Source organism: Homo sapiens, chromosome 6, assembly GCF_000001405.40.
Source record: "Homo sapiens chromosome 6, GRCh38.p14 Primary Assembly".
Classification (NCBI taxonomy): Eukaryota; Metazoa; Chordata; class Mammalia; order Primates; family Hominidae; genus Homo; species Homo sapiens.
In genome coordinates, this window is record NC_000006.12 from 43,613,299 (window position 1) to 43,641,233 (window position 27,935).

At 49.4% G+C, this 27,935-nt stretch overlaps 3 protein-coding genes across 12 annotated transcripts in view, besides 6 other annotated features; 2 read left to right on the top strand and 1 right to left on the bottom strand.

Moving 5' to 3' along the window:
- The window catches only part of POLH (DNA polymerase eta), a 44,339-nt gene extending 37,114 nt beyond the window's left edge, over nucleotides 1–7,225 (top strand). For 3 of the 4 annotated variants that reach the window (NM_006502.3, NM_001291969.2, XM_047418900.1), the window contains one exon: nucleotides 362–7,225. In NM_006502.3, the coding sequence (NP_006493.1) occupies nucleotides 362–1,259 (898 nt within the window). In that variant the 3' untranslated portion in view covers nucleotides 1,260–7,225. The remainder of the gene's footprint in view (nucleotides 1–361) is intronic. The other variant, NM_001291970.2, reaches the window with a different exon arrangement.
- On the bottom strand, nucleotides 7,196–18,035 carry GTPBP2 (GTP binding protein 2). Of its 6 annotated transcripts, XM_047418938.1 has the most exons (13): nucleotides 15,679–15,966; nucleotides 15,219–15,291; nucleotides 13,624–13,650; nucleotides 12,928–13,112; nucleotides 12,458–12,566; nucleotides 12,065–12,262; nucleotides 11,590–11,764; nucleotides 11,212–11,431; nucleotides 10,635–10,770; nucleotides 10,439–10,497; nucleotides 9,335–9,506; nucleotides 8,705–8,869; nucleotides 7,196–8,492 (listed from the first exon to the last, which is right to left on the bottom strand). In XM_047418938.1, the coding sequence occupies exons 2-13, from the start codon at nucleotides 15,258–15,260 to the stop codon at nucleotides 8,316–8,318; spliced, it is 1,665 nt and encodes a 554-aa protein (XP_047274894.1). In that variant the 5' UTR covers nucleotides 15,261–15,291; nucleotides 15,679–15,966; the 3' UTR covers nucleotides 7,196–8,315. The 6 variants fall into 6 exon arrangements, with proteins under 6 accessions (XP_047274894.1, XP_024302244.1, XP_024302246.1 ...); XM_024446476.2 differs by lacking the exons at nucleotides 15,219–15,291; nucleotides 15,679–15,966 and adding an exon at nucleotides 17,714–18,035; XM_024446478.2 differs by lacking the exon at nucleotides 15,219–15,291 and having other exon boundaries at nucleotides 15,933–15,966.
- Nucleotides 15,676–15,755: a silencer, noted in NCBI's record as "silent region_17237". NCBI's record gives its function as "represses an Ori minimal core promoter by ATAC-STARR-seq in GM12878 lymphoblastoid cells {active_cell/tissue: GM12878}" and the evidence as "EXISTENCE:reporter gene assay evidence [ECO:0000049][PMID:35858748]".
- Nucleotides 15,776–15,915: a silencer, noted in NCBI's record as "silent region_17238". NCBI's record gives its function as "represses an Ori minimal core promoter by ATAC-STARR-seq in GM12878 lymphoblastoid cells {active_cell/tissue: GM12878}" and the evidence as "EXISTENCE:reporter gene assay evidence [ECO:0000049][PMID:35858748]".
- Nucleotides 15,976–16,155: an enhancer, noted in NCBI's record as "active region_24605". NCBI's record gives its function as "activates an Ori minimal core promoter by ATAC-STARR-seq in GM12878 lymphoblastoid cells {active_cell/tissue: GM12878}" and the evidence as "EXISTENCE:reporter gene assay evidence [ECO:0000049][PMID:35858748]".
- On the top strand, nucleotides 16,242–27,643 carry MAD2L1BP (MAD2L1 binding protein). 2 transcript variants are annotated; one of them, NM_001003690.2, is made up of 4 exons: nucleotides 16,242–16,471; nucleotides 19,896–20,017; nucleotides 23,083–23,348; nucleotides 26,723–27,643. In NM_001003690.2, the coding sequence occupies exons 1-4, from the start codon at nucleotides 16,452–16,454 to the stop codon at nucleotides 27,233–27,235; spliced, it is 921 nt and encodes a 306-aa protein (NP_001003690.1). In that variant the 5' UTR covers nucleotides 16,242–16,451; the 3' UTR covers nucleotides 27,236–27,643. The 2 variants fall into 2 exon arrangements, with proteins under 2 accessions (NP_001003690.1, NP_055443.1); NM_014628.3 differs by lacking the exons at nucleotides 16,242–16,471; nucleotides 19,896–20,017 and adding an exon at nucleotides 22,542–22,623.
- Nucleotides 16,776–16,995: an enhancer, noted in NCBI's record as "active region_24606". NCBI's record gives its function as "activates an Ori minimal core promoter by ATAC-STARR-seq in GM12878 lymphoblastoid cells {active_cell/tissue: GM12878}" and the evidence as "EXISTENCE:reporter gene assay evidence [ECO:0000049][PMID:35858748]".
- Nucleotides 23,520–24,307: an enhancer, noted in NCBI's record as "H3K4me1 hESC enhancer chr6:43604555-43605342 (GRCh37/hg19 assembly coordinates)". NCBI's record gives its function as "activates a minimal SCP1, AML or CMV promoter by ChIP-STARR-seq in primed H9 embryonic stem cells {active_cell/tissue: H9 hESC(primed)}" and the evidence as "EXISTENCE:reporter gene assay evidence [ECO:0000049][PMID:30033119]".
- Nucleotides 24,308–25,094: an enhancer, noted in NCBI's record as "H3K4me1 hESC enhancer chr6:43605343-43606129 (GRCh37/hg19 assembly coordinates)". NCBI's record gives its function as "activates a minimal SCP1, AML or CMV promoter by ChIP-STARR-seq in primed H9 embryonic stem cells {active_cell/tissue: H9 hESC(primed)}" and the evidence as "EXISTENCE:reporter gene assay evidence [ECO:0000049][PMID:30033119]".

Genomic DNA, 27,935 nt, shown 5'->3' on the forward strand with positions numbered 1-27,935 from the left:
AATTTCTTGCCCCAACCCTGAATTACAGCAGCTTTCCAGTGGTACCTTATAAAAAACAATAATCTCTAGCTGTCGGGAGGTGAGTGGTTGCTAAATTAGTGGTTCTCAAGACATAACATCAGCATCACCTAGGAAATTAAATTCTCTGTCATCCCAGGTCTGTTAATCTCTGATACACATTAACGTTTGAGAACCACTGCAGTAAAGAATAATTTCTGTGGCAGAACCAGAATGCTAGTCATCTATGGATTAAATCTGTCCTATGGTGAAATAAAACAGATACAATTCATGGAATTAGCAATAGGTCACTATTTTAATCTTCTAAATTGCTAATCATCTTATTTCTTTACTTTCTGTATAGGTCTCCTCCTCTCACAATGCTTTTCCTCTGTGCTACAAAATTTTCTGCCTCTGCCCCTTCATCTTCTACAGACATCACCAGCTTCTTGAGCAGTGACCCAAGTTCTCTGCCAAAGGTGCCAGTTACCAGCTCAGAAGCTAAGACCCAGGGAAGTGGCCCAGCGGTGACAGCCACTAAGAAAGCAACCACGTCTCTGGAATCATTCTTCCAAAAAGCTGCAGAAAGGCAGAAAGTTAAAGAAGCTTCGCTTTCATCTCTTACTGCTCCCACTCAGGCTCCCATGAGCAATTCACCATCCAAGCCCTCATTACCTTTTCAAACCAGTCAAAGTACAGGAACTGAGCCCTTCTTTAAGCAGAAAAGTCTGCTTCTAAAGCAGAAACAGCTTAATAATTCTTCAGTTTCTTCCCCCCAACAAAACCCATGGTCCAACTGTAAAGCATTACCAAACTCTTTACCAACAGAGTATCCAGGGTGTGTCCCTGTTTGTGAAGGGGTGTCGAAGCTAGAAGAATCCTCTAAAGCAACTCCTGCAGAGATGGATTTGGCCCACAACAGCCAAAGCATGCACGCCTCTTCAGCTTCCAAATCTGTGCTGGAGGTGACTCAGAAAGCAACCCCAAATCCAAGTCTTCTAGCTGCTGAGGACCAAGTGCCCTGTGAGAAGTGTGGCTCCCTGGTACCGGTATGGGATATGCCAGAACACATGGACTATCATTTTGCATTGGAGTTGCAGAAATCCTTTTTGCAGCCCCACTCTTCAAACCCCCAGGTTGTTTCTGCCGTATCTCATCAAGGCAAAAGAAATCCCAAGAGCCCTTTGGCCTGCACTAATAAACGCCCCAGGCCTGAGGGCATGCAAACATTGGAATCATTTTTTAAGCCATTAACACATTAGTGCTGCCCTCAGGCTTGCCTGTAGGATTTAATATTTTTTATCTTTACAGATCTTTATCTTTAATATTTTATCTTTACAGATTTCCCTGAGAAAGGGAATTATGAAATTTTTAATACAAAAAATAATCCATTTAGGTGCTGAGTTACGGTCCCATCTCTTCACAGGCATGGATTCTAATCCCACTGCTGACAGAGATGTAAAAATTCATCCTACCAGAGTTTTTAATCTTTAGCATTTAGGGAGGCAGTGTCATAAAGTAAAAAGTGTGTGGGCCTTGGAGTCTAAGAGACGTGGTTGCAAACTTAGCTCTGGTTATTGCAATGAGGGCCTTGAACAAGTCATTTTCTTCACATTCTCATCTGTAAAATGGAGATAATACCTTACAGATTATTGCAGATTAATAACAATGTATTCAAATTATGTAACTCGGCCGGGTACAATGGCTCACGCCTGTAATCCTAACACTTTGGGAGGCCGAGGCAGACAGATCACCTGAGGTCAGGAGTTTGAGACCAGCCTGGCCAACATGGCAAAACCATCTCTACTAAAAATAGAAAAATTAGCCAGGCACGTTCCAGGCACCTGTGATCCCAGCTACTTAGAGGCTGAGGCAGAAGAATTGCTTTAACCTTGGAGGCGGAGGTTGCATTGAGCTGAGATCATGCTAGTGCGCTCCAGCCTGGGCAACAGAGCGAGACTTCATCTCAGAAAATAAAAAATAGGGGCCAGGCACAGTGGCTCATACCTGTAATGCCAGCACTTTGGGAGGCCAAGGCGGGCAGATCACGAGGTCAGGAGTTTCAGACCAATATGGTGAAACCCCATCTCTACTAAAATTACAAAAAAAATTATCCAGGCGTGGTGGTGCACGCCTGTAATCCCAGCTACTCAGGAGGCTAAGGCAGGAGAATCACTTGAACCCAGGAGGCAGAGGTTGGAGTGAGCTGAGATCGCGCCACCGCACTCCAGCCTGGGCAACAGAGCGAGACTCCATCTCAAACAAAAACAAGAACAAAAACAAACATAAAGTTGGCACAGAAAAGGGACCAAGTTTAAAAAAGGGTTTTAAATGTAATGAGACTTGCATAGTTAAAAAAAAAAAAGGGATTATTTTTATTTTTATTTTTTATTTTTGAGACGGAGTCTCCCTCTGTCGTCAGGCTAGAATGCAGTGGTGCGTTCTCAGCTCACCGCAACCTCCGTCTCCTGGGTTCAAGCAATTCTCCTGCCTCAGCCTCCCAAGTAGCTGGGACTACAGGCACGTGCTACCACACTCAGCTAATTTTTGTATTTTTAATAGAGATGAGGTTTCACCATGTTGGCCAGGATGGTCTCGATTGCTTGACCTCATGATCCGCCTGCCTCGACCTCCCAAAGTTGCTGGGATTACAGATGTTAGCCACCGATCCTGGCCCCCCCAAAAAAAGGATTTTAAGAAAAACTTCTCTTGGCCGGGCGCAGTGGCTCACGCCTGCAATCCCAGCACTTTGGGAGGCCGAGGCGGGCGGATCACAAGGTCAGGAGATCGAGACCACGGTGAAACCCCGTCTCTACTAAAAAATACAAAAAAAAATTAGCCGGGTGCGGTGGCAGGCGCCTGTAGTCCCAGCTACTCGGGAGGCTGAGGCAGGAGAATGGTGTGAACCCGGGAGGCGGAGCTTGCAGTGAGCCGAGAGCGCGCCACTGCACTCCAGCCTGGGTGACAGAGCGAGACTCCGTCTCAAAAAAAAAAAAAAAAGAAAAACTTCTCTTTAGGCTGGGTGCGGTTCCTCATGCCTATAATCCCAGCATTTAGGGAGGCTGAGGTGAGTGGATTGCAGGAGCTCAGGAGTTCGAGACCAGCCTGGGCAAGGTGGCAAAACCCCGTCTCTACTAAAAAAAATTAGCTGGGCTTGGTGGCAGGCGCCTGTAATCCCAGGTACTCGGGAGACTGAGGCAGGAGAATTGCTTGAACCTGGAAGGTGGAGGTTGCAGTGAGTTGAGATCACACCAATGCACTCCAGCCAGGGTGAGAGTGAGAGACTGTCTCAAAAAAAAAAAAAACAAAAGAAAAACTTCTCTCTAGCTCTGTGACGGGCAGTTCAGATAATACCTTCACCAGATTTACCTGTTTTCAGCTGAAGAATGTGAGATGAAGCCTTGAAACCCTAAAAGTGATATGGTAACTAGGGCAGGTCTTTCTGTACATAAAAGTGACTTAATAAACAGTGAATTTCATACAGGTAAACCCTATTATACCCTCAGTTCTAACCATTGGCCTATCTCTTGCGTTTTGTTCTAATGTAGAATTAGATTGCTACTTGACTAGTTCAGGAACTCTGTTTAGATCTGATAAGTCATAATCAAATCTTGCCAGGCGTGGTGGTTTATGCCTGTTATCCCAGCACTTTGGGAGGCCAAGGCAGGTGGACCACGTGAAGTCAGGAGTTCAAGACAAGCATGGCCAACATGGCGAAACCCTGTATCTACTAAAAATACAAAAATTAGCCGGGCATGGTGGTGGGTGCGTGTAATCCCAGCTAGTTGGGAGGCTGAGGCAGGAGAATCACTTGAACCTGGGAGGCAGAGGTTGCAGTGAGCCGAGATTTCCACTGCATTCCAGCCTGGGCGATAGAGTAACTCTGTCTCAAAAAAACCCACTAGATCATCTCTAGAACATTGCTACTCCCAAGTATGATTTGAGGAACAGCAGCCTCAGTATCACCAGGGAACTTATTAGAAATAGTCTCAGCCTCACCACTATTCCCACTTAATTGTAATCTGATATTAACAAGATTTCCCAATGTGGGTCAGGTGTGGTGGCTCATGCCTGTAATCCCACACTTTGGGAGGCCAAGGTGGGCGGATCACTTGAGGCTGGGAGTTTGAGACCAGGCTGGCCAACATGGGGAAAACCCATCTCTACAAAAAATAACAAAAATTAGGTGTGTGTGGTGACGCATGCGTGTAATCCCAGCTACTTAGGAGGCTGAGGCAGGAGAATCACTTGAATCTGGGAGGCAGAGGTTGTAGTGAGCTGAGATTGTGCCACTGCACTCCAGTCTGGGCAACAGAGTGACACTGTTTAAAAAAAAAAAAATTCCCAATGTGGGCCGGGTGCAGTGGCTCATGCCTGTAATCCCAGCACTTTGGGAGGCTGAGGTGGGTGTATCACGAGGTCAAGAGATCAAGGCCATCCTGGCCAACATGGTGAAACCCCGTCTCTACTGAAAATACAACTGGGCGTGGTGGTGCACGCCTGTAGTCCCAGCTACTTGGGAGGCTGAGGCAGAAGAATTGCTTGACCTGGGAGGCGGAGCTTGCAGTGAGCCCAGATCGTGCCACTGCACTGCACCCTGGCGACACAGCAAGACTGTCTCAAAAAAAAAAAAATTCCCAATGTGTATCTTAAAGTTTGAGAAATGCTGATCTAAAAGATACTAATGACCAGGTGTGTAGAGGACATTTTCTTAAGCCCTTAAGTACAAATTTAAGAGGTAAGTGCTTCAGCCATTAGGGTTACTGGCTTGTTCATCTTTCCCACTGAGTGTAAATATTTAGCTTAGGGTTTAAAATTTGTTATGTAGCTTTTTGCACTTGTCCATGTTTATACTACTGTATTATTATTATTTTTTTTTGAGATGGAGTCTCGCTGTGTAGCCAGGCTGGAGTGCAGTGGTGCAATCTTGGCTCACTGCAACCTCCGTCTCTCGGGTTCAAGCAATTCTCCTGCCTCAGCTTCCCGAATAGCTGAGACTACAAGCGTGCACCACCATGCCCAGCTAATTTTTGTATTTTTAGTAGAGACAGGTTTTCACCATGTTGGCCAGGCTGGTCTCTATCTAGACCTCGTGATCCATCCGCCTCGGCCTCCCAAAGTGCTGGGATTATAGGCATGAGCCACCACGCCCAGCCTATAGTACTGTATTCTTATTCTCCACTCTTGTGTGTGAAAAGTCAGCTCTTTTGGCTTTTCTGTTATGGGGAAACTTGAATTACACAGGGAACCCAACTGAAGAAAATGAACTGAAGTAGGTGGCGCTGGGTGAAGTGGGCCCAGAGAATGGTGTACACATCCCTCCCATACATATACCCAAACTTCTATTTTTTTATGTGACGGAGTTTCTCTCATCGCCCCGGCTGGAATGCAATGGCACGATCTCGGCTCACTGCAACCTCCGCCTCCCGGGTTCAAGCGATTCTCCTGCATCAGCCTCCTGAGTAGCTGGGATTATAGGCATGCACCATCACGCCTGGCTAATTTTTGTATTTTTAGTAGAGATGGGGTTTCGCCACGTTGGCCAGGCTGGTCTTGAACTCTTGATCTCAAGTGATCCACCCGCCCTGGCCTCCCAAAGTGCTGGGATTACAGGCCTGAGCCACCAGGCCAGCCCCAACTTCTACTTTTTATTTTATTTATAAATTGGGGGGGGGGTTCTATATTTAGTTTGAAGAGGTGGGGAAGATTTGAAAACCACTAGATTTACCAGGAAATTTTTTTCTTCAAAAATATTTTCTGCTTTTATGATACTTGAATATCTAATAAAAGACAATATTTAGCCAGTCACGGTGGCTGATGCTTGTAATCCTAACACTTTGGGAGGCTGAGGTGGGTGGACTACTGGAGCCCTGGAGTTCAAAACCGGCCTAAGCCACATGGCAAAACAGTCTTTACAAAAAATACAAAGATGGTGGCTTATGCCTGTAGTCGTACCTACTCAGGAGGCTGAGGTTGGGAGGATCACCTGAATCTGGGAGTTTGGGGCTGCAATAAGCCATGATTGTGCCGCTGCACTCCAGCCTGGGTGACAGTCTGAGACCCTGTCTCAAAAAAAAAAAAAAAAAAAAAAAAAAAAAAGACTACATTCACTGTATACGTGGCCTTTTCCCCCTAACTAGCTATGTAGCTTCTTAAAGGCAAAGATTCTTCATAGTGCTTTGCACATGATAGGTGCTGATACTCATTGGATGAATGTATATAGTGAAGAATTTTAGATCTGATTACCACAATTGGGATCATAAACATGTATAAACTCCTTGGGAGTCTGCCTTATATACTTTTTATCCCCCTAAATGTTCCATTAATGTTGCAGAGAGGCTCACTAGTTCCTGGAGATGTCTTATTAAGTACTGAAATGTGATTTTCCAAAATTTTCTTTACAATACAGGCAAAAGATAAGTAAATTGTGGACAAAGCTTTCATCTCTATCAGCAGCTATAGAGAGGAAGTAAACAGCTTAGCCCCTAATACAGGAGGAAGTTGTTCAACTACAGGCTTGTTAGTAGCAAGTTAAACCAGTTACATTTTATAAAACAGCCTGAGTGGTAGGGAAGCTATCACTTTAATACTCTAGAGGCAGAATGCCACATAGGACTTTGGGTCACATATTTCTTTTCCAGGGTCTCCTCAAAATGCAGTTTCTATTTACAGTTGACTTTGGCCCCTATTTACCCATAAAATGTCAAAATCAAGTAGTATGAACATGGAAACAGGAGCAGGGACTAAGGTTTGGTCAAGTGGCCCTCATTGTTCCAAGAGTAATTTAGGCTATGTAAACTTGAAAAATATGGGACCAGATTACCTTTTGTCTCTAAATTCTACTCTTCTTTAAGTAGCTGGCACTGTATCTCTGCCAGGGCACAGAAGTGGGCTCCTTACTATTCTGACCACTAGCAAGTGGCCAACTCTTCAAATACAGGGTAGCTACCTATTTCACGTGAAAGGCCTCAGTATTCTGCTCACTTGAACTACGGAAAATAGGCCACAATACTTGGTTACAATACTGGAACTCTGAACCTATGTGGAGGAGAGAAAAACAATGGTGAACGAGATACCAGCTGGGCTCTTTCCACATTCAGGGCTCAGCAGTGTTGGGGTTTCACTTGTCTCTAATCCTGAAGAGGTATCTAGCCCTGGAAGGAAGCTGAGCCTGTAGCTAACGCATAAGCACAGTGTATTCAATAAAACATTTTTATTCTGTACAATATATATGTGTATTTAAATATATATACATATGTATATATATATATATGCACAGAGAAACCTTAGCCAACAAATCCCTGAGTCCATGGGAACCCAGGACACTAACAAAGGGAAAGGAGAGTCCATGCCTAAAGAGTAGGAAATATGGCAACATCTTTCCCTTTCCTCCTGGTTCCCTGCAACAGAGGGAAGGGAACAGTCACTACAAATTACTAAAACGAGGGTTTAGGTGGGGCAGGAAAGTGGGGTGAGAGTGGTAGGATGGGGAACTCAGATGCCACCAGTCTGGGAAAGTAAAACATTTGATCCAGCATGAAAGCCAACATGACCGCAGAGGAAAAAGACCAGACTGATGGGCATGCAGCTGGCCTTTGGTATATGCCAAGCCTTTGCTTGGTAGCCCCACGCCTGGGCCAGCACAACAAATAGCACCTGTGGGGCCTATAAGCCGGGAGGGGATGGGGGAGATAGGGACTGGGGAAATGGCCCTTGAGTGAAGGAAAGGGAGATAAAGCTGAGGAAGAGGCCTCAGGCCTCAGCACAGGGTGGCAACACTACCATTCACTGTCCCTGTGCCATTTCTTCAGACTCTGGGCCGCCACCACCACCAGATGGCCAAGAGCAGATAACCTTTTGTCCACAGCCAGGTAGAGATGGGCAACTTACATGGCCTTGAGAAGAGGTATAGAAAAAGGAGTGCTTTTGAGGGCTACCCCCTGTTGTGACCATTCCTGAAGTGCAGAGACCACACCAGCAAAACATGCCCAGTCTTAGTAGTGGGGACGAAGAATTGATGAGTGGATCCAGTCAGCTCCGGCAGACAGGCCACAGGGTTGCCAGGTTTGATGAGCCAACCAGGTGAGCACACAGCTTCGGAGCACTGCCCTGAATCCTGTCTTCTCCCTCAGGACTGCCCTTTCCTGGCCACACCAAGTTTGGCACCTCTCCAGAAAGTTGGCAGGGAGCAAGTGGCAGACAGCACCCCTCTCTCCCTAGCCTATTAACACACAGAGCCGCCAATGGCAGGGCAGCATGGCCAGAAGTCACCTTATATATTGTAGGGACAGCAATAGAACTGTCCCTGCCTGAAGGGTTCAGAAGCCCATGTTGGCCTGGGCTTCTCCTGCTGTAATGGCTTGTACATCAGTGACATGGCCGATGCCCTTGGTGACACCCTCCCGGAACAGCAGTTTGGCGCCCACCTTCAGGTACTCTGGGTGTTTCAGGAAGCGGAAACGTACCACTGCCTTCTCGCCTGTCCGCAGTTTGTCCTGCAGCAAATAAGTGGTCACTCCCCTGGCCAGTGCCTTCTGTCCCATTCTCTGCCAGCCGTGGCTCTCCACCCTCCAGAGGCCTATCAGGCCGCTACCCACCCTAAGTGGGGTTTTATTCCCATTGTGGGATCAAGGAGTTCTCTGCCAGTCTGGGGCAGGCCTCCCTCTTTTCTGACCTCTGGAGAAATGGAAGGCCAGGTCCCTCTCACCTTGGCATGGATCTTTTCCACCACTGCCGTCTGACGTACGTTGCCCACGTGTACTGTCACCTGGAATCCTCGTCGGAAGGTGGTGGCATGGAACAGTAAGACTATCTCTGCCTCAAACACCGAGCAGATGGTAGGATTCATCTCCGGGCTCACCATCACCATGCCCTGGGGAGGAACAGACCCCAGGCCCAGGAAGGGCAGCTCTAACATCAGACTCTCCCTCCCCAGCCACCCCACACCCTTTATAGCTCCTGAATTTCCTCTTCCTCTACACAACTCTAAACACAAAGACCTCAAAAGACAATAATCAAAACTCTCAGAGGGAATGAGTCTTTACCCACCTCCTACGTCCTCTAGCCCATCTAACGCTTCACATTTTTAGGGTCCTGAACACTAAAAATAGTGTTCATTAAAAACAGTGTAACATAGTGATTCATATTTAGTTATCTGTACCTCATGAGTACGTTAAGCTGTTTTTATAGTCTACGTAGCTAGACCAGAAGCTTCTTGGGTCAGAGAGTGTGTTTCCTCTGAGTTTCTCTGAAGCACCTTAGATAGGTGCTCATTCAGTAGCCAGTCTCCTAGGCACTTCTCTTAGCGTTCCCTCCCCAACCCATGCACCCACCTCACCTTGCGAAGCAGTGCACGGTCAAAGTCCCCAAGCGCCAGTGTAGCAGCCTGACCAGCTCGCAGCACACGACAGGCAGAGCGGTTGCGCTGGATGCTGCATACTCTCAGCTCCAGGAAGCAGCCATCATCCGTGGGGCCCACCACCAGCTGGTCCCCCTCACGGCAAATCCCACTGCAGCCCAGAGGGCAGGTGGCACAGTGTCAGCCAAGGTCCCCATACCTACTTCTCTATTAGGATCACCCAGAGCATTCCTTCCCTTCTAGGGTTGAGTCCCTCAAGTGGGGAAGAACCCTAAATTCTGACTTGGATGTAACAGGGCTCACTGCCAGAGTTCAGAATCAGAAGACTAATTTCATAAAAGGCCAGCAGTGATGGTGGACAGAGAGACACTTGCTGGTTTAACAACACCGAACACCTAATCACTGAAGGAGCAAGTTATCCCCTTGGGTTTCATTCTCTGCTTTGCAGAGTCTTAGGCCAGCCGCGTTGGCTCACACCTGTAATCCTAGCACTTGGGGAGGCTGAGGCAGGTGGATCACTTGAGGTCAGGAATTCAAGACCAGCCTGGCCAATATGGTGACGACCCCATCTCTACTAAAAATACAAAAATTAGCCGGGCATGGTGGTAGGCGCCTGTAATTCCAGCTACTCAAGGCTGAGGCAGGAGAATTGCTGGAACCCAGGAGGCAGAGGTTGCAGTGAGCCAAGATCGCTCCACTGCAATCCAGCCTGGGCAACAGAGCGAGACTCTGTCTCAAAAAAAAGAAAGAAAGAAAGAAAGAAGAGTCTTAAGTGACGTCTCTCATTTCCCTGTGTGAGATGAAGTCAGTTGAATACACTCTAGTTTTCTTCCTGGAGCTCAAGACCCACACTTCTCTCTCAGGGGCCTGGAGATTCCCCAATAGGCAGCAATACTGTTTCTTCCCTCCAAAGCCAACAGACTACCGTTCTCCAGCTCTTCTGATAGTGAAAGCCTAATCTGCAAATAAGCATGTCCTTTAAATGGGTTCCGTTCAATTCCAGGGTCTCCTCCTTTGGGCCAGGATGTCTTTGAGTATATAGGTGAGGGCTGAGTGGGGAGGGTAGCAAGCAAGACAATTTACCTGGAAAGTGTTCCTCCAACAACAGTCCCCACCTCTGGTACTGTGTAGATTTCATCCACCTGAAGCCAAAGAAAACGCTATCAATGGCCTGCCAAGTAGGGCTGGTGGGTCCAAAATCTCTAAACAGACTCTGGGTTTGGTCTGAAGCAGCCCCTCCCTGTTTCCCAGCCTATTAGATGTTTGGGCAGTCAACTACCTGGAACTCCGTCAGCTGCTGCATGAGTTCCTCCTGCTCTTTGCTGTTGGTGAGTGGCGGCAGAATATTCAGAAAGACTTTGAGGAGGTCCAGACTCTCTCCAGACACACTGGACAATGTGAAGATGGGGGTGACACTGTAGAGGGAGGCATGGAATGGACAGATGAAGACAGTCCAAACAGGAGGCAGAGGCCAGAGCCCCATACATGGAAAGGTGAGCTTTGTTCTGGCTGGGGGCCCCTCTCTCCTGTCTGCAAATGGCTCAGGAACTCTGGGCCTTCTTGTGAGCCAGTCGAGCAATGTCACACAAAAAGCCCATCCGAGCCCAAGGGAAACAGCAAATGCCTGGTATAGCACTTCATCGCCATGGTCCCAGGCATCAGCAGTGCTCCAGGTTGGCTCGGGAGGAGGGTCAAGCCCTTTAGCAAGATGCCCCTCCACAATCCCAAGCTGAAACACCCGCAGAACTAAGCCAGAACTGGTCTGGCCCTGGAGAAGTAGGATATCATGCTTCTGGGCCCTGGGCTCTGTGGCAGCCTTCCTAGTGGATCAGGGCTTTAGAGTAAGGTGGGCTTACTTGGGTGACTGAGCAAACTGCTGGGCAGCAGTGACGGCATCATCCTCAGAGGTGACCAGCATGGGGACCTTGTGGCAGCCAGGCTGCTTGAGGACCCGCTCCAGCTGGCGTACTGTCCTCTCCACTGTGGTCTTGGCACATAGGTCGATCTTGCTGACCACGATGAAGAAGGGCACTTTCAGGGCCAGGGCCAGCCCCAGATGTTCCCTTGTGGTGCCAGCTGCCTCATAAGGACAGCAAGCAGCAGGAGAGAAGAGTGAGAATGCAGGAGGGAGGAGAGGGAAGAAGAGGAGCATTGGTCTGTCTCCAAGATTTGAGGCCCAGGGTAGGAGAGTCAGCACCCCCCTTCAGCCCTGTCCCTGCCCTAATGCCTCGTACCAATCCCAGTGTTGGCACTGACGAGGAGCAGGGCGCAGTCGGGGCAGTATGATGTGAGGCCAAAGATGGTGGTGTGTAGGTACTTATGGTGGCCTGCCAGGTCGATGAAGGTGATCATCTTGGAGCTGCTCTCACAGATCTCTTCTGCTGTCCGTGAGTCGCTGTAATTCACCACCTGGCCCAGGGCCCAGGGCCCTCAGTGCCTCCTGCCAGCCCTTCCAACCCCTTCAGAGTTGCCAGGACCTAAACCATTCCCTGGGTGACCCTGCCTCTTAATCTTGACCCCATTTTTTATTTAATTTAGTTGATTCCCCATTGATTTCCTAAGAGGGGCAGAGCTTGTTCACAGTCCCCTCAGGGCATTCATCTATACTATTTCAAAAAGTCTCCACACTCTACCCCCATCCTATGTCCTTCACTACTACCATCCCATCCTCAGAGTCTGGCCCCATTGGGTCCCATTGATCCCATGCACCTCTCCCTTGCTGTTAAAGCCCAGGATCTCGAAGCTGATGCTGGAGGTTCGGCCAGACTGAATCTCATGCAGGTGGCGGAAAAGGTTGAGCCGAGCCCGGCCCCGCCCATTGTCCAGCTCTCCCTGGGTCAGGACTCCAAGCAGAGTTGACTTCCCAGAGTCCACATTCCCCAGGACGGCCACACGGAGGTCTAGGAACTGTGGATGAATTGCCAGAGATAAGAACTCCAATCTCTCACCCCTCTAACTGAAGACTGGGTCAAGGGCAGTGACGCTCCCTAGGGAGCAAGTGATGAACTGGAAGCCCCCAGGATCCCAGGCCAGGAGACAGCCTGCCACCACAGGGCCCTTCCACAGTGTGGACATGAGAGACAGGGATGGGTGTGTGCTCACCTGTTGGTTGTCAGGGACCTTTCGTACTAGCACCTCGGTGATCTTCCGGGGCATGTCGCTATCATAATCCACTTCTCGCTCTCGAAGAACGGTTATGTCTGCCCCAACCCTGTCACAGCAAGGCCACAGCTGCCATATCTCACCTGTCCTTCTCCTATTCCAGGCTCGCTCTGGACCTACAGACTTCCTGCACCTCCCACAGAGCTCCCAATACCTTAGTGCACTTCCTACCACCCTCCAATCTATTCCTCATTCACAGTTCCCTTTAAAACAAATATACATATCTTAATTCAAGGAGCAAAACAGCCTAGGTCCAGTGAGGAGGGGACCAAAACACTAACCCTCCCCACTTCAGCCCTTTGTCAAGAGAAGGAAAGTCCCACCTTGGCCCCTCAGGCCCTAGGTAACTGGGTATGCATGGGTCCCCCCAAGTCAGGTAAAGGAGAACTGGTGGGGAAGGGGAAGCATACTTCTCTGCCATCCGGTGCAGGGTCTTGAGCGAAGCTCGCATTTCCTCCTCAGCCAGCCCCACCAGCAGCCCATTGTCCTCTACCCCAATCTGGTAGACGGCCTCACCACGTCCCTCCTGGAGCCGCCACTTCATTTGTGTCACCAGGTGCTCAAAGCGGTACTGGGATGGATTCACCAGCTTCAACTTAGGGCAAGTGGGGTATCATAAGGTGAAATCAGAGGTGTTCCTCCCAAACCTACATGGTCCCCACCTGTTCTGCTGCAAGGACCAGGACTTTCTCTTTCCACTTAAACTCATACCTGATCCCCCTCCAACAGAACGAGGTACAGAGCCCTTAACCTGAACCATATCCTTAAACTGCTATAATTATGAAGTTGGAAGGCTCTCAGAGAACTTATCCCATGCTGGTGGATCACCAGAGGTCAGCAGTTCGAGACCAGCCTGACCAACATGGAGAAACCTCATCTCTACTAAAAATACAAAATTAGCCAGGCATGGTGGCGCATGCCTGTAATCCCAGCTACTTGGGAGGCTGAGGCAGGAGAATCTGAGATTGCGCCACTGCACTCCAGCCTAGGCAACAAGAGCAAAACTTCATCTCAAAAAAAAAAAAGAAAGAAAGAAAAAAGAAATTATCCCACACTGGCAAGGACAACCTACCCCAGCCCCTGCTTTTCCCCAGCCTAGGACTCACTTTATATTCAATGTTTCCATCTTCAGCCTGAAAAGAAACAGTGAGCAGTTACCATACACTGTACAGACCCAATCCCTACTTCCCCTCAATTCCCACTGGGTCCAGGTAGCTAACTTGAGAAAGCAGGAAGCCCCACTGGCACTTGGTTAGGCAAGTGCCTGTCAAAGGTCAGTGGCAGACAAGATCCTCTATTCACCCCCAGCATAGCCTCTATGAAGGGAAGGCCTATAAGGACACAAGGAGTCACCCATTTAAGCCAGGAACAGAACACTGAATCAATCCATTCTTTGATCACTGGCAGCACGTTCTTCCTAGATGCAAGATCATCCCTTCCTCCCCACCTCCAGGGCCTCAAACCTGCTTTTCCCAGAAGTCTATGTCTCCTCTGTGCCCAGGCTGTTAAAACCTTTCTTTGTCACTGGTCTAGGAAACACCATTTCCTCCCTGCCTGCCCCTTTCAGCTGATGTCATCTAGAGTAAGAGGCTGCAAGAGGTTCTGGATCAGAGCCAAAGGGTGAGCTCAGCAATGGTCACTACAAGCCTGATGACCGAGAAGATCTAGGTGAGAGAGGAGAAGAGCTCCAAAGCTGGGGCTGAGAGGAACAGAAAAACTCAGAAAATGTAATGAAGCGGACAGACTCGCTATGGCCTTTACCTCTTGCCCCCTAACCTCAGTGGAGGTGAAATCCTGAATCCACCCCACAGTCTCTTCTAGCTCCAGTGGGTAGCACAGCACAGAAGCACCCTGTTACCTGAGGCTTCCCCTCCCAGGTACAAAGGGATATGGGATTTGCCTGTTTGGCCAGTCTGCATTTTTCTACCCGCCTCTCTGGATATTTTAGTTTTCCTCTTCCCTTCCTATCATTCCATCCCTTCAAGGCTGTCTGGCTCCCAGGCCCTAACAGGTCTTCACTCATAATCTCCACTTCATGGTGTGTTAAGGAGATTATTTTTTTTCCCCATCAATAAAAACCTTTTAATCATTTTTCTGGGGATGGGTGGCTTCAAAAAATGTGGTACAAGAATGACAGTCTAGGGCCCAGACCAATGGTTCCCAAAGTGAGGTCCTGGGACCAGCAGCATTAGTATCACACGGGAACTTATAAGAAATGCAAATTCTCAGGCCCATCCTCACTAGTAAGAAAGAATCAGAAATTCTAGGCTGGGCACGGAGGCTCACGCCTGCAATCCCAGCACTTTGGGAGGCCGAGGCGGGTGGATCACCTGAGGTCAGGAGTTTGAGACCAGCCTGGCCAACATGGTGAAACCCCATCTCTACTAAAAATACAAAAATTATCTGGGCGTGGTGGCGGGCACCTGTAATGCCAGCTACTCGGGAGGCTGCAGCAGAAGAATCGCTTGAGAACCCGGGAGGCCGAGGTTGCAGTGAGCTGAGATAGCCCTACAGCACTCCAGCCTGGGTAACAGAGACTCCGTCTCAAAAAAAATAAATAAATAAATAATAAAAAAATAAAATTGGCCAGGCGTTGGGGGCCAGCAATCCGGGTGATTCGATACATGCCAAAGTTTGATAACCACTGGCTTAGGCTGTGTGTGTGTGTGTGTGTGTGTGTGTGTGTGTGTAGTGAACATACTGCTCTTTTCCCGAGTACTGTGTGTGTGTCCGTGTGGAACATATTGCTCTTTTCCCGGGTACTCCCCTTCTCCCTGTGGAACAAGTTTAGAAGAAGTGGTGGTTACTGTCTGCCTCTCGTCCCAGGATGCAGTCTCTCTTGCCCTATGGCGGCACACGCAGTTGGTCGGGGTGCTCTTCCTGGGATCCCCTTTCTCTACTTCTCTCCTGGGGTAATCTAGATCAGAAGGGGGAGTCCTCCCTCTCCACTCTTCCTCCCTGAGGTCCTGTCACCTGAGAGTCCAGTCTCTGCCCTTCCTCCCTGGGGTCCCGGGACCTGAAAGAGGTGTTCTCCTCCCGTGCCCCTCCTCCCTGGGGTCTCGACACCGGAAGGGGAGATTAATTATCTGGGTCCCGCCTCCCTAGAGTCCTGGGCCGGAAAGAGTGGCTTCTTCCCGCCCTACCACTTCTCAGGTGCTCACCTCGGGGGGCAAATACGGGGGGTTGTTGGCTTTGCCCCCTCTGTTCCTTCCGTTCTTCTTCTTTCCCTTTGGCCCCCCGCAGCCGCTGCTGCTGCCGGCCCCCCTAGCCTTGAGGGTTCCGCCCACGGCCGGGCCCCCTCCGGGCCGGCAGCAGCCGCCGAACAGCTCCGATACCCGCGAGTCCATCCGCCGCTGCCGCCAGCCCCCCGCCCGGCCCCTCCCCCGACCGCCGCCGCCGTCGCCGCCGCCCTTACTGCCACTGCCGTGTCCGGCCGGCCTGAGCAGAGTGGGGTGGGGCTCTGCACAAGCTACGCCCCCCACCTCCCTGGCCTCCGGGTCGCGTCAGAAACAGCCGCGGGGCACCACGGGATATAGAGTCCCCAGGCCTGGGAATTCACTTAAATGACACGTCGCCGCCCTACAACTCCCAGGAGGCATCGCGGCGCAAGTGGCCGCGGGAGTCGTCGGAGGCGTGGGGAAGGAGCGCGCCTTGGCGCGCAAAGGCTTAAGGGAGCTGTAGTCTGACTTCCAGTCCTCGCGCTATGTTCTTTTTCTAGGACTTGGGGGGAATTTAGAGCCTCGAGGCCTGGGGTGGGGACGCGAGGACACCAGCGTAGAAGAGCTTACATCAGAATCGAGCTTTGTGGGCGCTCCGGGATTTGGCCCTTTAGCGCGGATCCTAGACAACAGGTTTTGGACCTCGAGAGCTGCAGAACTGAGGCTACTGGTGCCGCCAGCCTGCTGGCTCCGCCTCTGCCTCAGTTTCTTCCCCTATGGCCCGCGTGCCGCTGGGGTGAGTCAGGGCGAACGCCAGGGCGGAGGCGGATGGTGATTAGCCAAATTACGGCTGTTATTGTTGGGATGATTATGCTACCTTTACATAGTAGTCACTGCTTTATTACCAGGCTGGCACCGTCCAGGGGCTGGTTTTAATAACCGGAGGCACCGCGGTGGCCCCGACACGAGACCCGAACCCGTAAACCAGCTTCCTCCCCGAAGGCTGCAAGCATACCCAAAGCGAGTATTCCTCCTCCCCTTTGTTTTGAAGCAGAACCAATCGGGAAGAACTGAGTTTGGTTTTAAACGGCCAAGACTGTAGGAGGGGCCTGGCCCCTACTTCGGGCGGGGCTAGGGCTCGGGTTACACCAACCACCACGAGGGCGGGGCAGTGGCCGGGAATAGAAACTTGGCCTAGGGCCACAGGGGATTTTTGGCTTTTGACTCTCTTGTGAAGCAATCTCCAGCTCTTTAGTGCTGTTGCACTCTACAGAGTACATACATTCAGCGACATAAGCCAGTGCACAGAACACAGAAAGGCAGGGTGGAAAAGCAGTTATGTTGCTGAGCTGCGAGTCAGGACGCTAGGGCTCAATTCACAGCCGCATGGCTGTCTCATGACTCAGACCACTCACAGTGTGTCCACTTCTCCCCTCTTCTCGAACTGCGAGGTGCTCATACACGGTCAAGAAATTAAACAACTCAGCCGGGTGCGGTGCCTCACGCCTGTAAATCACAGCACTTTGGGAGGCCAAGGAGTGTGCGGATCACCTGAAGTCAGGTGTTCGAGACCAGCCTGGCCAACACAGCGAAACCCCGTCTCTACTAAAAATACAAAAATTAGCTGGGCGTGGTGGCGCATGCCTGTAATCCCGGCTGCTCGCGAGGCTGAGGCAGGAGAATCGCTTGAACCCGGGAGGCGGAGGTTGCAGTGACCCGAGATCACGCCATTGCACTCCAGCCTGGGCAACAGAGCGAGACTCCAACTAAAAAAAAAAAAAAAAAATTAGCCCAGCATGATGGTGCACATCTGTGGTCCCAGCTGCTCGGGAGACTGAGGCAGGAGAATCGCTTGAACTCGGGAGGTAGAGGTTATAGTGAACTGAGATCATGCCACTGCACTCCAGCCTGGGTGACAGAACGAGACTTCGTCTCAAAAAAAAAAAAAAAAAAAAAAAGAAAGAAAAAGAAATTAAGCAACTCTTCTCTCCAGACCTCAGTTGTCCTTGGAAAACTAGAAGCAGCAATAATGACTTACCTCTGGTGATCCCTTCAGGGGTTCAGACTTGGTAGAGTCCATGGCTTCCTCCCAGGGCCACAAGGAGGGAGGCAGGTTTACTGATCATGCTGTCCACATAGCATAATTTCCCAAAGCAGTGAGAGCAGAGAGACCAAAATCTGCAAAAGGGCCTAGCTGACCATAGGCCAATTATGTGGGTCTTCAGTGGTTGAAAGCACATGTGACTTTTCTTAGTCCTGTGCCACTGAAGGAAAGGTTATGCCGTAGAGGTCAATGCTAGCCAGGGGCACAGGCCTACTAGGGAAACTGCTGCTTAGAGACAGAGACTAGGGAACTCAGTGAGAGATCTCAAGAAGGATGAGAATTGGAAGGAAGAGATAAGACCATTCTCCCAACATTCTCACCATGACCAGCCCTGGGCCCTCTTGATAACCAGAGCCTGCTGCACTTGTCTGATAACATGTGTCCCTTCATATACATGGATTATTTTTATTTTTATTTATTTTTTGAGACAAGGTCTCCCTCTGTCACTCAGGCTGAAGTGCAGTGGTGTGATCACAGCTCATTGCAGCCTCAACCTCCCCTGCTCAAGCAGATCCTCCCACCTCAGCCTCTGGAGTAGCTGGAACTACAGGTGCGAGCCACCATGCCCAGCTAATTTTTGTTTTTATTGTTTGTAGAGATGGTGTCCCCCTGTGTTTCCTAGGCTGGTGTTGAACTGGGCTCAAGCAATCCTCTTGCCTTGGGTTCCCAAAGTGCTGGGATTACAGGCATGAGCTGCCACACCTGACCTACTATTTTATTTATTTATCTATTTATTATTTATTTAATCCCAGCATTTTGGGAGGCCGAGATGGGAGAATTGCTTAAAGGCAGAGGGATTGCTTGAGTCCAGAAGTTGTTGTTGTTTGTTTGTTTGTTTTTTGATGGAGTTTCGCTCTTGTTGCCCAGGCTGGAGTGCAATGGCGCGATCTTGGCTCACGGCAACCTCCTCCTCCCGGGTTCAAGCGATTCTCCTGCCTCAGCCTTCTGAGTAGCTGGGATTACAGGCATATGCCACCACACCCGGCTAATTTTGTGTTTTTAGTAGAGACGGTGGTTTCTCCGTGTTGGTCAGGCTGGACTCGAACTCCCAACCTCAGTTGATCCGCCTGCCTTGGCCTCCCAAAGTGCTGGGATTACAGGTGTGAGCCACCGTGCCCGGCCCTGTTTATTTTTTAAGGGTGGCGAGGAGGAGGAAGAGAGAAAATGATTGATTGATTGACTTTTTTTTTTTTTTTTTTTTTTAGGTAGGGTCTCCTTCTGTCACCCAGGCTGGAATGCAATGGCACAATCTTGACTCACTGCAACCTCCAACCCTAGAGAGTGATTCTTCCACTTCAGCCCCCCAGGTAGCTGGGACTACAGGGGCATGCCACCATGCCTGGCTAAGTTTTGTATTTTTTGTAAAGAAGGGGTTTGCCGTGTTGCTCAGGCCGGTCTTGAACTCCTGGACTCAAGCAGTTCTCCCACCTTGGCCTCCCCAAAAATGCTGGGATTACAGGCGTGAGCCACTATGCCCAGCCAGATCCAGTATTTTAATCATTGTACTTTTATAGTATGTTTTGACCTCTGGTCCCTACTTCCTGAAACACATCCTTTTCTTGGCCTCCATGACCTGACACTTGTCTTTTTTTTTTTTTTTTTTTTTTAATAGAGACAAGATCTCACTATGTTGCCCAGACTGGTCTTAAACTTCTGGACTCAGCCGGGTGCGGTGGCTCACTCCTGTAATCCCAGCACTTTGGGAGGCTGAGGCAGGTGGATCACCTAAGGACAGGAGTTCAAGACCAGCTTGGCCAACATGGTGAAACCCCATCTCTACTAAAAATACAAAAAATTAGCTGGGTGTGGTGGTGGGCACCTGTAATCCCAGCTACTTGGGAGGCTGAGGCAGGAGAATTGCTTGAACCCTGGGGGCAGAGGTTGCAGTGAGCCAAGATCACGCCATTGCACTCCAGCCTGGGCAACACGAGCAAAACTCCATCTAAAAACAAACAAACAAACAACAACAAAAAACTTCTGGACTCAAGCAATCCCTCTGCCCTTAAGCAATTCTCCCACCTCGGCCTCCCAAAATGCTGGGATTATAGGCTGGAGCTGCCATGCCCAGTCAGACCCAGTATTTTAATCATTGTACTTTTTTTTTTTTTTTTTCCAGGCGGAGTCTCACTCTGTCACCCAGGCTGGAGCACAATGGCATGACCTCAGCTCACCACAACTTCCGCCTCCCAGGTTCAAGGGATTCTCCTGCCTCAGCCTCCCAAGTAGCTGAGATTATAGGTATGCACCAGCACGCCTGGCTAATTTTGTATTTTTAGTAGAGACGGGGTTTCTCCATGTTGGTCAGGCTGGTCTCAAACTCCCGACCTCAGGTGATCTGCACACCTCGACCTCCCAAAGTGCTGGGATTACAGGCGTGAGCCACTGTGCCTGGCCTCTAATTGCTGTACTTTTATAGTGTGTTTTGACCTCTGGTCCCTACTTCCTGAAACACGCCCTTTTCTTGGCCTCCATGACCTGACACTTATTTAATTTATTTATTTATTTATTGGTAGGGACAAGGTCTCATTATGTTGCCCAGACTGGTCTCAAACTTCTGGATTGATGCACTCCCCTTGCCTTGAATTCCCAAAGTGCTGGGATTACAGGCATGAGCCACCATGCCTGGCCCCACTTGTCTATTTTGGTTTTGGAGGCAGGGTCTCCCTCTGTCACCCAGGCTGGAGGGCAGTGGTGCGATCACAGCTCACTGTAGCCTCAACCTCCCAGGCTCAAGCAATCCTCCCACCTAAGCCTCCCAAAGTGCTGGGAGTACAGGCATGAGCCACCTTGCCCGGCCATTTGTCTATTTTTCTTTATCCTCCTGTGGGTACTCTTTAGTCTTCTCCATAGCTTCTGTCTCTCTGGTCATCCCCTAAACATTAGTGTCTTCAATATCCTAGCCCATTCTCATTCTACACCCTCCCTGGGTGATCTTATTCACTAACATGCTGATGGCTCTTAAATACATACCTTTATTGCAAATGGCATTCCTAAATATCTCTATTCATTATCCTATGGAGATGTCAAATTCAATCTGTGAAAAGCTGAACTCATCTTTTCTCCTACTCACCTCCCACCCCAACAAACCTGGTCTTATTTCCTATTTTAGTGTTTCCTCCATCCTTTTTTTTTTTCTTTTTTTCTTTTTTTTTTTTTTTTTGAGTCATGGTCTTGCTCTGCTGCCCAGGCTGAAGTGCAGTGGCATGATCATAGCTCACTGTAAGTGTCGAACTCCTGGACTCAAGCAATCCTCTGCTTCAGCCTCCAGAATAGCCAGGACGACAGTTGTGCACCACCACACCTGGCTAACTTTAAAAAAAAATTTTTAATTTTGCAGAAACAGGGTCCCCAATCTTGTCCTGGCTGGTATTGAACTCCTGGCCTCGGCACCCTGCTTCCCTCTGTCATTGAATGGTACAATTTCCCATACAATTGCTGAAGTCAGAAACCTGCTTGTTTTCTTGTCAGTCTCTTTCTTTTTTTTCTTTTTTTCTTTTTTTTGAGATGGAGTCTCACTCTGTCACCTAGGCTGGAGTATAGTGGTGCGATCTCAGCTCACTGCAACCTCCGCCTCCCGGCTTCAAGCGATTCTCCTGCCTCAGCCTCCTGAGTAGCTGGGATTACAGGTGCATGCCACCATGTCTGGCTAAATTTTGTATTTTTAGTAGAGACAGCGTTTCACCATGTTGGCCAGGCTGGTCTCAAACTCCTGACCTCGTGATCCACCTGCCTTGGACTCCCAAAGTGCTAGGATTACAGGCGTGAGCCACCGTGCCTGGCCTCTTCTCAGTCTATTTCTATTCCTCCTCCTCCTTGTAAATCAATCCCCAAGTTATGTTCACTGGACCTCCTAAATATCTCGAGTTTACCCAATTATCTCCACCCCACTGTGACTACGCTAGGTTAGGCTGCTTTCATCAAGTACTCGGGTAATTGCACTACCTCTAACTGGTATCCCTGCCTCCTCTCTTATCCTCTCTGTAATCCAATCTCTATCCTGCAGCCAGGGTAGAGATTAAATTTATAAGATGTAAATTTAATCATGCCACTCTCCTACTTAAACCTTTCAAGGCTTCCCCATCTGCCTACAGGATCAAGTCCAAACTCTCACGTGGCTTATACGGTCCTGCCATGATCTGGCTCCTGTTATTCACTACAGCCTTAACTCTTTATAATATGAACTCTTTTCATTCCTTGTACAGAGTATGCTCTTGTCTCAAGGTCTCCAGGAGCACTAGGCCCTCCTCTTTACCTTGTTGACTTATCCTACAGGTCACAGCTTCACACATTTCTTCTGGGACCACTCCTTCCCAGCCCCTACCCTCTGTGGGTCAGCCACCCTTGTTTTTCACTTCCACACCCCGTGTACACTTTTCTGTATAATTCATCACATTGTATTGTATCTACAGGCAGTGAACCCCTTGAGCACGGGGCCCGCGCCTGGCTTGTTCTCCGCTGTCTCCAGCACCTAGGACAGGGCCTGGCACGAAGTAGGTGCACAGTGAGTAGTGAATGCTGGAGTGAATAGATGCAAGAGGGCTGGTGTCTTTTAGAAAGCAGCGCTCAGTGGCTGAGAACTCCTGGGTTCCCTGCTGGGCAAGGGTTAGGCGTACATTTGCCAGGGTGTTAAAGGAGGAACGCAGGGTTCAAATCCCAGCTCCACTTAACCTCCCCCACACTGCGGCGACGCCGCGCCTTTTTTCCGACCCAACTGAGCCGGAAGTGGAGGCGCGGGCTTCCCATGATGCCCCGCGAGACCTTTATTCTAACCGCAAGGAGTAGCGGAGGGGAGGTCGTGATGGCGGCGCCGGAGGCGGAGGTTCTGTCCTCAGCCGCAGTCCCTGGTAAGGCGTGGGGCCAAGAGTTTGGGGAGCCTTGGGGACTTGTTTCTTCCCTACCGCCGCGCCATCCATTCGTTTATCCGCTGGTCCTCTCCCTAGCCCGTCTTCCCTGTCTTCCGGGTGTCCTACACGGCTCTGGCTGTGACTCCATCGCCCTGGGTCGCACTGGACCCTGCTTGACTACACTTTTGACTCATTTCCCCAGATCAAGTCCCGCAGCTTTCTGAGCGGGGAGCCCTCCGAAATCCCCCCACTATCTTGCAGTCGATTAAATCTCCTCAGGCAACAGGGATCAGGAATCTCTCCCTGCCACGGCCCATACTGTAGGCTGCGGAGGATATGGGCGTATGTCGGAGTGCCTGCTTTTTCAGGGTGGCTGGTTTGTCGGCCACAGGGAATGAGAAGACTGACTGGCTTTTAGGTTTTTAATTTTTCTCTCTTGTCCCTCTTTTCATCTACCAGATTTGGAGTGGTATGAGAAGTCCGAAGAAACTCACGCCTCCCAGATAGAACTACTTGAGACAAGCTCTACGCAGGAACCTCTCAACGCTTCGGAGGCCTTTTGCCCAAGAGACTGCATGGTACCAGTGGTGTTTCCTGGGCCTGTGAGCCAGGAAGGCTGCTGTCAGTTTACTTGTGAACTTCTAAAGCATATCATGTATCAACGCCAGCAGCTCCCTCTGCCCTATGAACAGCTTAAGCACTTTTACCGAAAACCTTCTCCCCAGGTAGGCACAGGCTTTGGGAGCAAGTTGGTGGGAAGACTTTGTGGCTCTTAGATGGGAGGCAGGTAGAAAGGGGGTCTAAGAAATCTTCAAAGCCTGAGAGAATAAGCAGCTTCCAGGGCTTCGGTCACTTTCTCCCCACTCTAGTCTTTGGTAGCCTAACCCTTCTGGCTTTTTCAACTGTTCTTTCTTTCTGAAACTCACGTGTTGCATTTGGACTTAATGAACTGGCTCTTTGCATTTTTTTCTTTTGAGACAGAGTCTTGCTCTGTTGCCCAGGCTAGAGTGCAGTGGCGAGATCTCAGCTCACTGCAACCTCCGCCTCCCAGGTTCAAGCGATTCTGCTGCCTCAGCCTCCCGAGTAGCTAGGATTACAGGCTCCTGCCACCACACCCAGCTAATTTTTGTATTTTAATTAATTTATTTATTTTATGTTTTGAGACAGAGTCTCTCTCTTGTTGCCCAGGCTGGAATGCAATGGCGTGATCTCGGCTCACTGCAGCCTCCATGTCCCAGGTTCAAGCGATTCTCATGCCTCAGCCTCCCCAGTAGCTAGGATTACAGGCACGTGCCACCATGCCCAGCTTATTTTTGTATTTTTGGTAGAGACGGGGTTTCACCATGTTGACCAGGCTGGTCTCGAACTCCTGACCTCAAGTGATCTGCCCGCCTTGGCCTCTCCCAAAGTGCTGGGATTACAGGCGTGAACTACCGCGCCTGGCCTGCATGTTTCTTTAATAGCATCCTGTTGTTTAATTTCTGTATGGACTTCTTTTTTCTTCTTTTTTTTTTTTTTTTTTGAGACAGAGTCTCGCCTTGTCACCCAGGCTGGAGGACAGTGGCATGATCGCAGCTCACTGCAACCCCAATCTCCCAGGTTCAAGTGATTCTCCTGCCTCAGCCTCCCCAGTAGCTGGGATTACAGGCATGCACCACCACACCCAGCTAATTTTTTGTTTGTTTGTTTGTTTTTGATAGGGAGTTTCACTCTGTCACCCAGGCTGGAGTGCAGTCGTGCCATGTTGGCTCACTGCAACCTCCGCCTCCCAGGTTCAAGTGCTTCTCCTGTCTCAGCCTCCTGAGTACCTGGGATTATAGGCATGCGCCACCATGTCCAGCTAATTTTTGTATTTTTAGTATAGACGGGGTTTCACCATGTTGGCCAGGCTGGTCTTGAACTCCTGACCTCAGGTGATCCGCCTGCCTCAGCCTCCCAAAGTGCTGGGATTACAGGCATGAGCCACCGTGCTCCGCCTGTTTGTTTCTTTTTTTGAGAAGGAGTCTCGCTCTTGTGTGGCCCAGGCTGGAGTGCAGTGGAGCGATCTCGGCTCACTGCAACCTCCACTTTGGGTTCAAGCGATTCTCCTGCCTCAGCCTCGAAGTAGCTGGGATTACAGGCATGTGCCACCACACCTGGTTAAATTTTGTATTTTTAGTAGAGACAGGGTATCGCAATGTTGGCTAGGCTGCTCTCAAACTCCTGACCTCAAGTGATCCGCCCGCCTTGGCCTCCCAAAGTGCTGGGATTACAGGCGTGAGCCACTGCTCCTGGCCCACCTGGCTAATTTTTGTATTTTTAGTAGAGATGGAGTTTCACCATGTTGGCCAGGCTGGTCTCGAAGTCCTGACCTCAGGTTATCCACCTGCCTCAGCCTCCCAAAGTGTTGTTGGGATTACAGGTGTGAGCCACTGCGCCAGGCCATGAACTTCTTTTGCCTGAGGATATTAATTATTGAATTTTTAAGTTTTTCTTTGTTCCTTGCGGCATCTCAGTTTCTTCTAGAATCCATTCCCCATTTGTTTTGTTCTGGACTTTGACTTTCATGTTGGAGAGTTTTATTCTGTGTCTGGTGAATATTTAAGAATAAATTGGCCGGGCGCGGTGGCTCACGCCTGTAATCCCAACACTTTGGGAGGCTGAGGCAGGCGAATCACGAGGTCAGGAGATTGAGACCATCCTGGCTAACATGGTGAAACCCTGTCTCTACTAAAAATACAAAAAATTAGCCGGGCGTGGTGGTGGGCGCCTGTAGTCCCAGCTACTCGGGAGGCTGAGGCAGGAGAATGGTGTGAACCCGGGAGGCGGAGGTTGCAGTGAGCCGAGATTGCGCCACTGTACTCCAGCCTGGGCGAAAGAGCGAAACTCTGTCTCAAAAAAAAAAAAAAGAATAAATCATTGCAAGCTGTGTGTGCATGCCTGGGCCTTATGAGCTGATAGACTTCACTATAAGGAGATTAGGTGGGAACCTGGTGATCTCTTTGTGGGGATTGGAAAGTCTTCCCTCTGGATGGGGGAGAAATTTGGCAGATGATCTAAGCATCTTCACACAGATTTTCATTCATTTCCCCTATATTCACTCTTGCCTCTGTGGTGCCTGTATCACCACTTCCTAAACCTTTCTGGGGTTCTGCTGTGTGGATCAGTTTGCATCCCTTGGGGGTCCCTTCTGTCAGCACTTGGTATTCAGCTCTCTTGAACTCTTAACTCTTCATCTTCTTTCTTTTTTTTTTTTTGAGACAGAGTCTCGCTCTGTCACCCAGGCTAGAGTGCAGTGGCGTGATCTCAGCTCACTGCAAGCTCTGCCTCCTGGGTTCAGGCTATTCTCCTGCCTCAGCCTCCCTAGTAGCTGGGACTACAGGCATCCACCACCACACTCGGCTAATTTTTTGTATTTTTAGTAGAGACAGGGTTTCGCCATGTTAGCCAGGATGGTCTTGATCTCCTGACCTTGTGATCCGCCCGCCTCGGCCTCTCAAAGTGCTGGGATTACAGGCGTAAGCCACTGCGCCCAGCCAACTCTTCATCTTCTATCTTCCAAAACTTCTGTGTTTGCATTTGGCTAGTGTTGTGTAGTTTCCAGTTCTTTCCTCTTGGGAGTTTTCTTTGTCAGTCTTTCCTCTTCTTTCCTTCATTTGTTTCTTAATTTCTTTTCTCTCATTTTGTAATATTTCAGGTGGAAGTGCAAATAAGCATGTGTTCAGTTTACTATGTTTAAGTGGAAGAACAAGTTCAAAGTCATGTTTATTAGACCAAATAATCCTCATTCCTGTTATCACTCCCCATACAGCAAAAATTTGTTGTCACTTTGTCATGTCACCAAATTTCTATTTTAGTTGCTTATATCTGGATATCCTCCACCTTCAGAACACTGTGTTTGCTGTTCTAAATGTGGGAGAATTATGGTTTTGTACAAATAATATATTTTCCTTTTCAGTATAATACCCTCTGATAAAACACAGTGTTTTGGCTGTGGCGGTTCATTGAGCTAGAAATTAAGTCCTGTAAGTCTATGTACACATCCCAGCAGGGTTCTTTTCAAAGAGCATTAGCTTCCCCCTGCCTTGTTCTTCTCTCCCACCATTCTTTGTCCTCACAGGCAGAGGAGATGCTGAAGAAGAAACCTCGGGCCACCACTGAGGTGAGCAGCAGGAAATGCCAACAAGCCCTGGCAGAACTGGAGAGTGTCCTCAGCCACCTGGAGGACTTCTTTGCACGGACACTAGTACCGCGAGTGCTGATTCTCCTTGGGGGCAATGCCCTAAGCCCCAAGGAGTTCTATGAACTCGACTTGTCTCTGCTGGCCCCCTACAGCGTGGACCAGAGCCTGAGCACAGCAGCTTGTTTGCGCCGTCTCTTCCGAGCCATATTCATGGCTGATGCCTTTAGCGAGCTTCAGGCTCCTCCACTCATGGGCACCGTCGTCATGGCACAGGGACACCGCAACTGTGGAGAAGATTGGTTTCGACCCAAGCTCAACTATCGAGTGCCCAGCCGGGGCCATAAACTGACTGTGACCCTGTCATGTGGCAGACCTTCCATCCGAACCACGGCTTGGGAAGACTACATTTGGTTCCAGGCACCAGTGACATTTAAAGGCTTCCGCGAGTGAATGAGTGCTTCTTAATCCTAAAAACACAATGGCTGAATTATCTTTCTCCATGTGGCGCTGAATCACCCATCTGGTTTGGAGCTAGAGTTGCTTCCTGGTGAGAGAGGAAGCAACTCTCCTTCTGGTTGTCTGCCTCCCCTCAGATTTCCTGATAGGCTGATGGCATGTGGCTGTGACTGTGACTGTAATCATTGCTGAACAACATCTCTTTGAATCAAAGGTTGATTTTCCCAGAGGGTGCTGGGTCAGGCATTTCTATTAGGAGTTGGAAAGCAAAAATGGGTCCATAGACACTCTATGGAGGTGTCCCTTTCTGCTCTTTGCTGTGTCCTTTCAGAATTTTTACCAGGAACATAATGTGGATGTGACTTATGAACTTAAATATAAAATAAATAGATTCTTATTATATTTTCCTGAAATTGTTTTGACTTAACTTGTCAGGTTTTAGGCTATTTTGTCTTTCTCCTTGGCCTCTTCTGCTTCAGGGCTTCTCGAATTTTTTTTTTTTTTCTTTTTTCTTTTTTGAGATGGAGTCTCGCTGTATCGCCCAGGCTGGAGTACAGTGGCACAATCTTGGTCGCTGCAACCTCCACCTCCCAGGTTCAAGGAATTCTCCTGTCTTAGCCTCTCGAGTAGCTGAGATTGCAGGTGTGCACCACCACGCCCAGCTAATTTTTGTATTTTTAGTAGAGATGGAGTT

Bases quoted from the DNA above. Each gene is read 5' to 3' on its own strand.
- MAD2L1BP (NM_001003690.2), top strand. From the start codon at position 16,452: ATGGCCCGCGTGCCGCTGGG. The intron at 16,472-19,895 runs GTGAGTCAGGGC...TTTTTTTTCCAG, and splicing joins ATGGCCCGCGTGCCGCTGGG to GCGGAGTCTCACTCTGTCAC. The intron at 23,349-26,722 runs GTAGGCACAGGC...TTGTCCTCACAG, and splicing joins ACCGAAAACCTTCTCCCCAG to GCAGAGGAGATGCTGAAGAA.
- GTPBP2 (NM_019096.5), bottom strand. From the start codon at position 15,864: ATGGACTCGCGGGTATCGGAGCTGTTCGGCGGCTGCTGCCGGCCCGGA. The intron at 11,432-11,589 runs GTACGAGGCATT...CTTATGAGGCAG, and splicing joins CAGTGCCAACACTGGGATTG to CTGGCACCACAAGGGAACAT. The intron at 8,870-9,334 runs GTGAGGTGGGTG...GTTCCTCCCCAG, and splicing joins ACCGTGCACTGCTTCGCAAG to GGCATGGTGATGGTGAGCCC.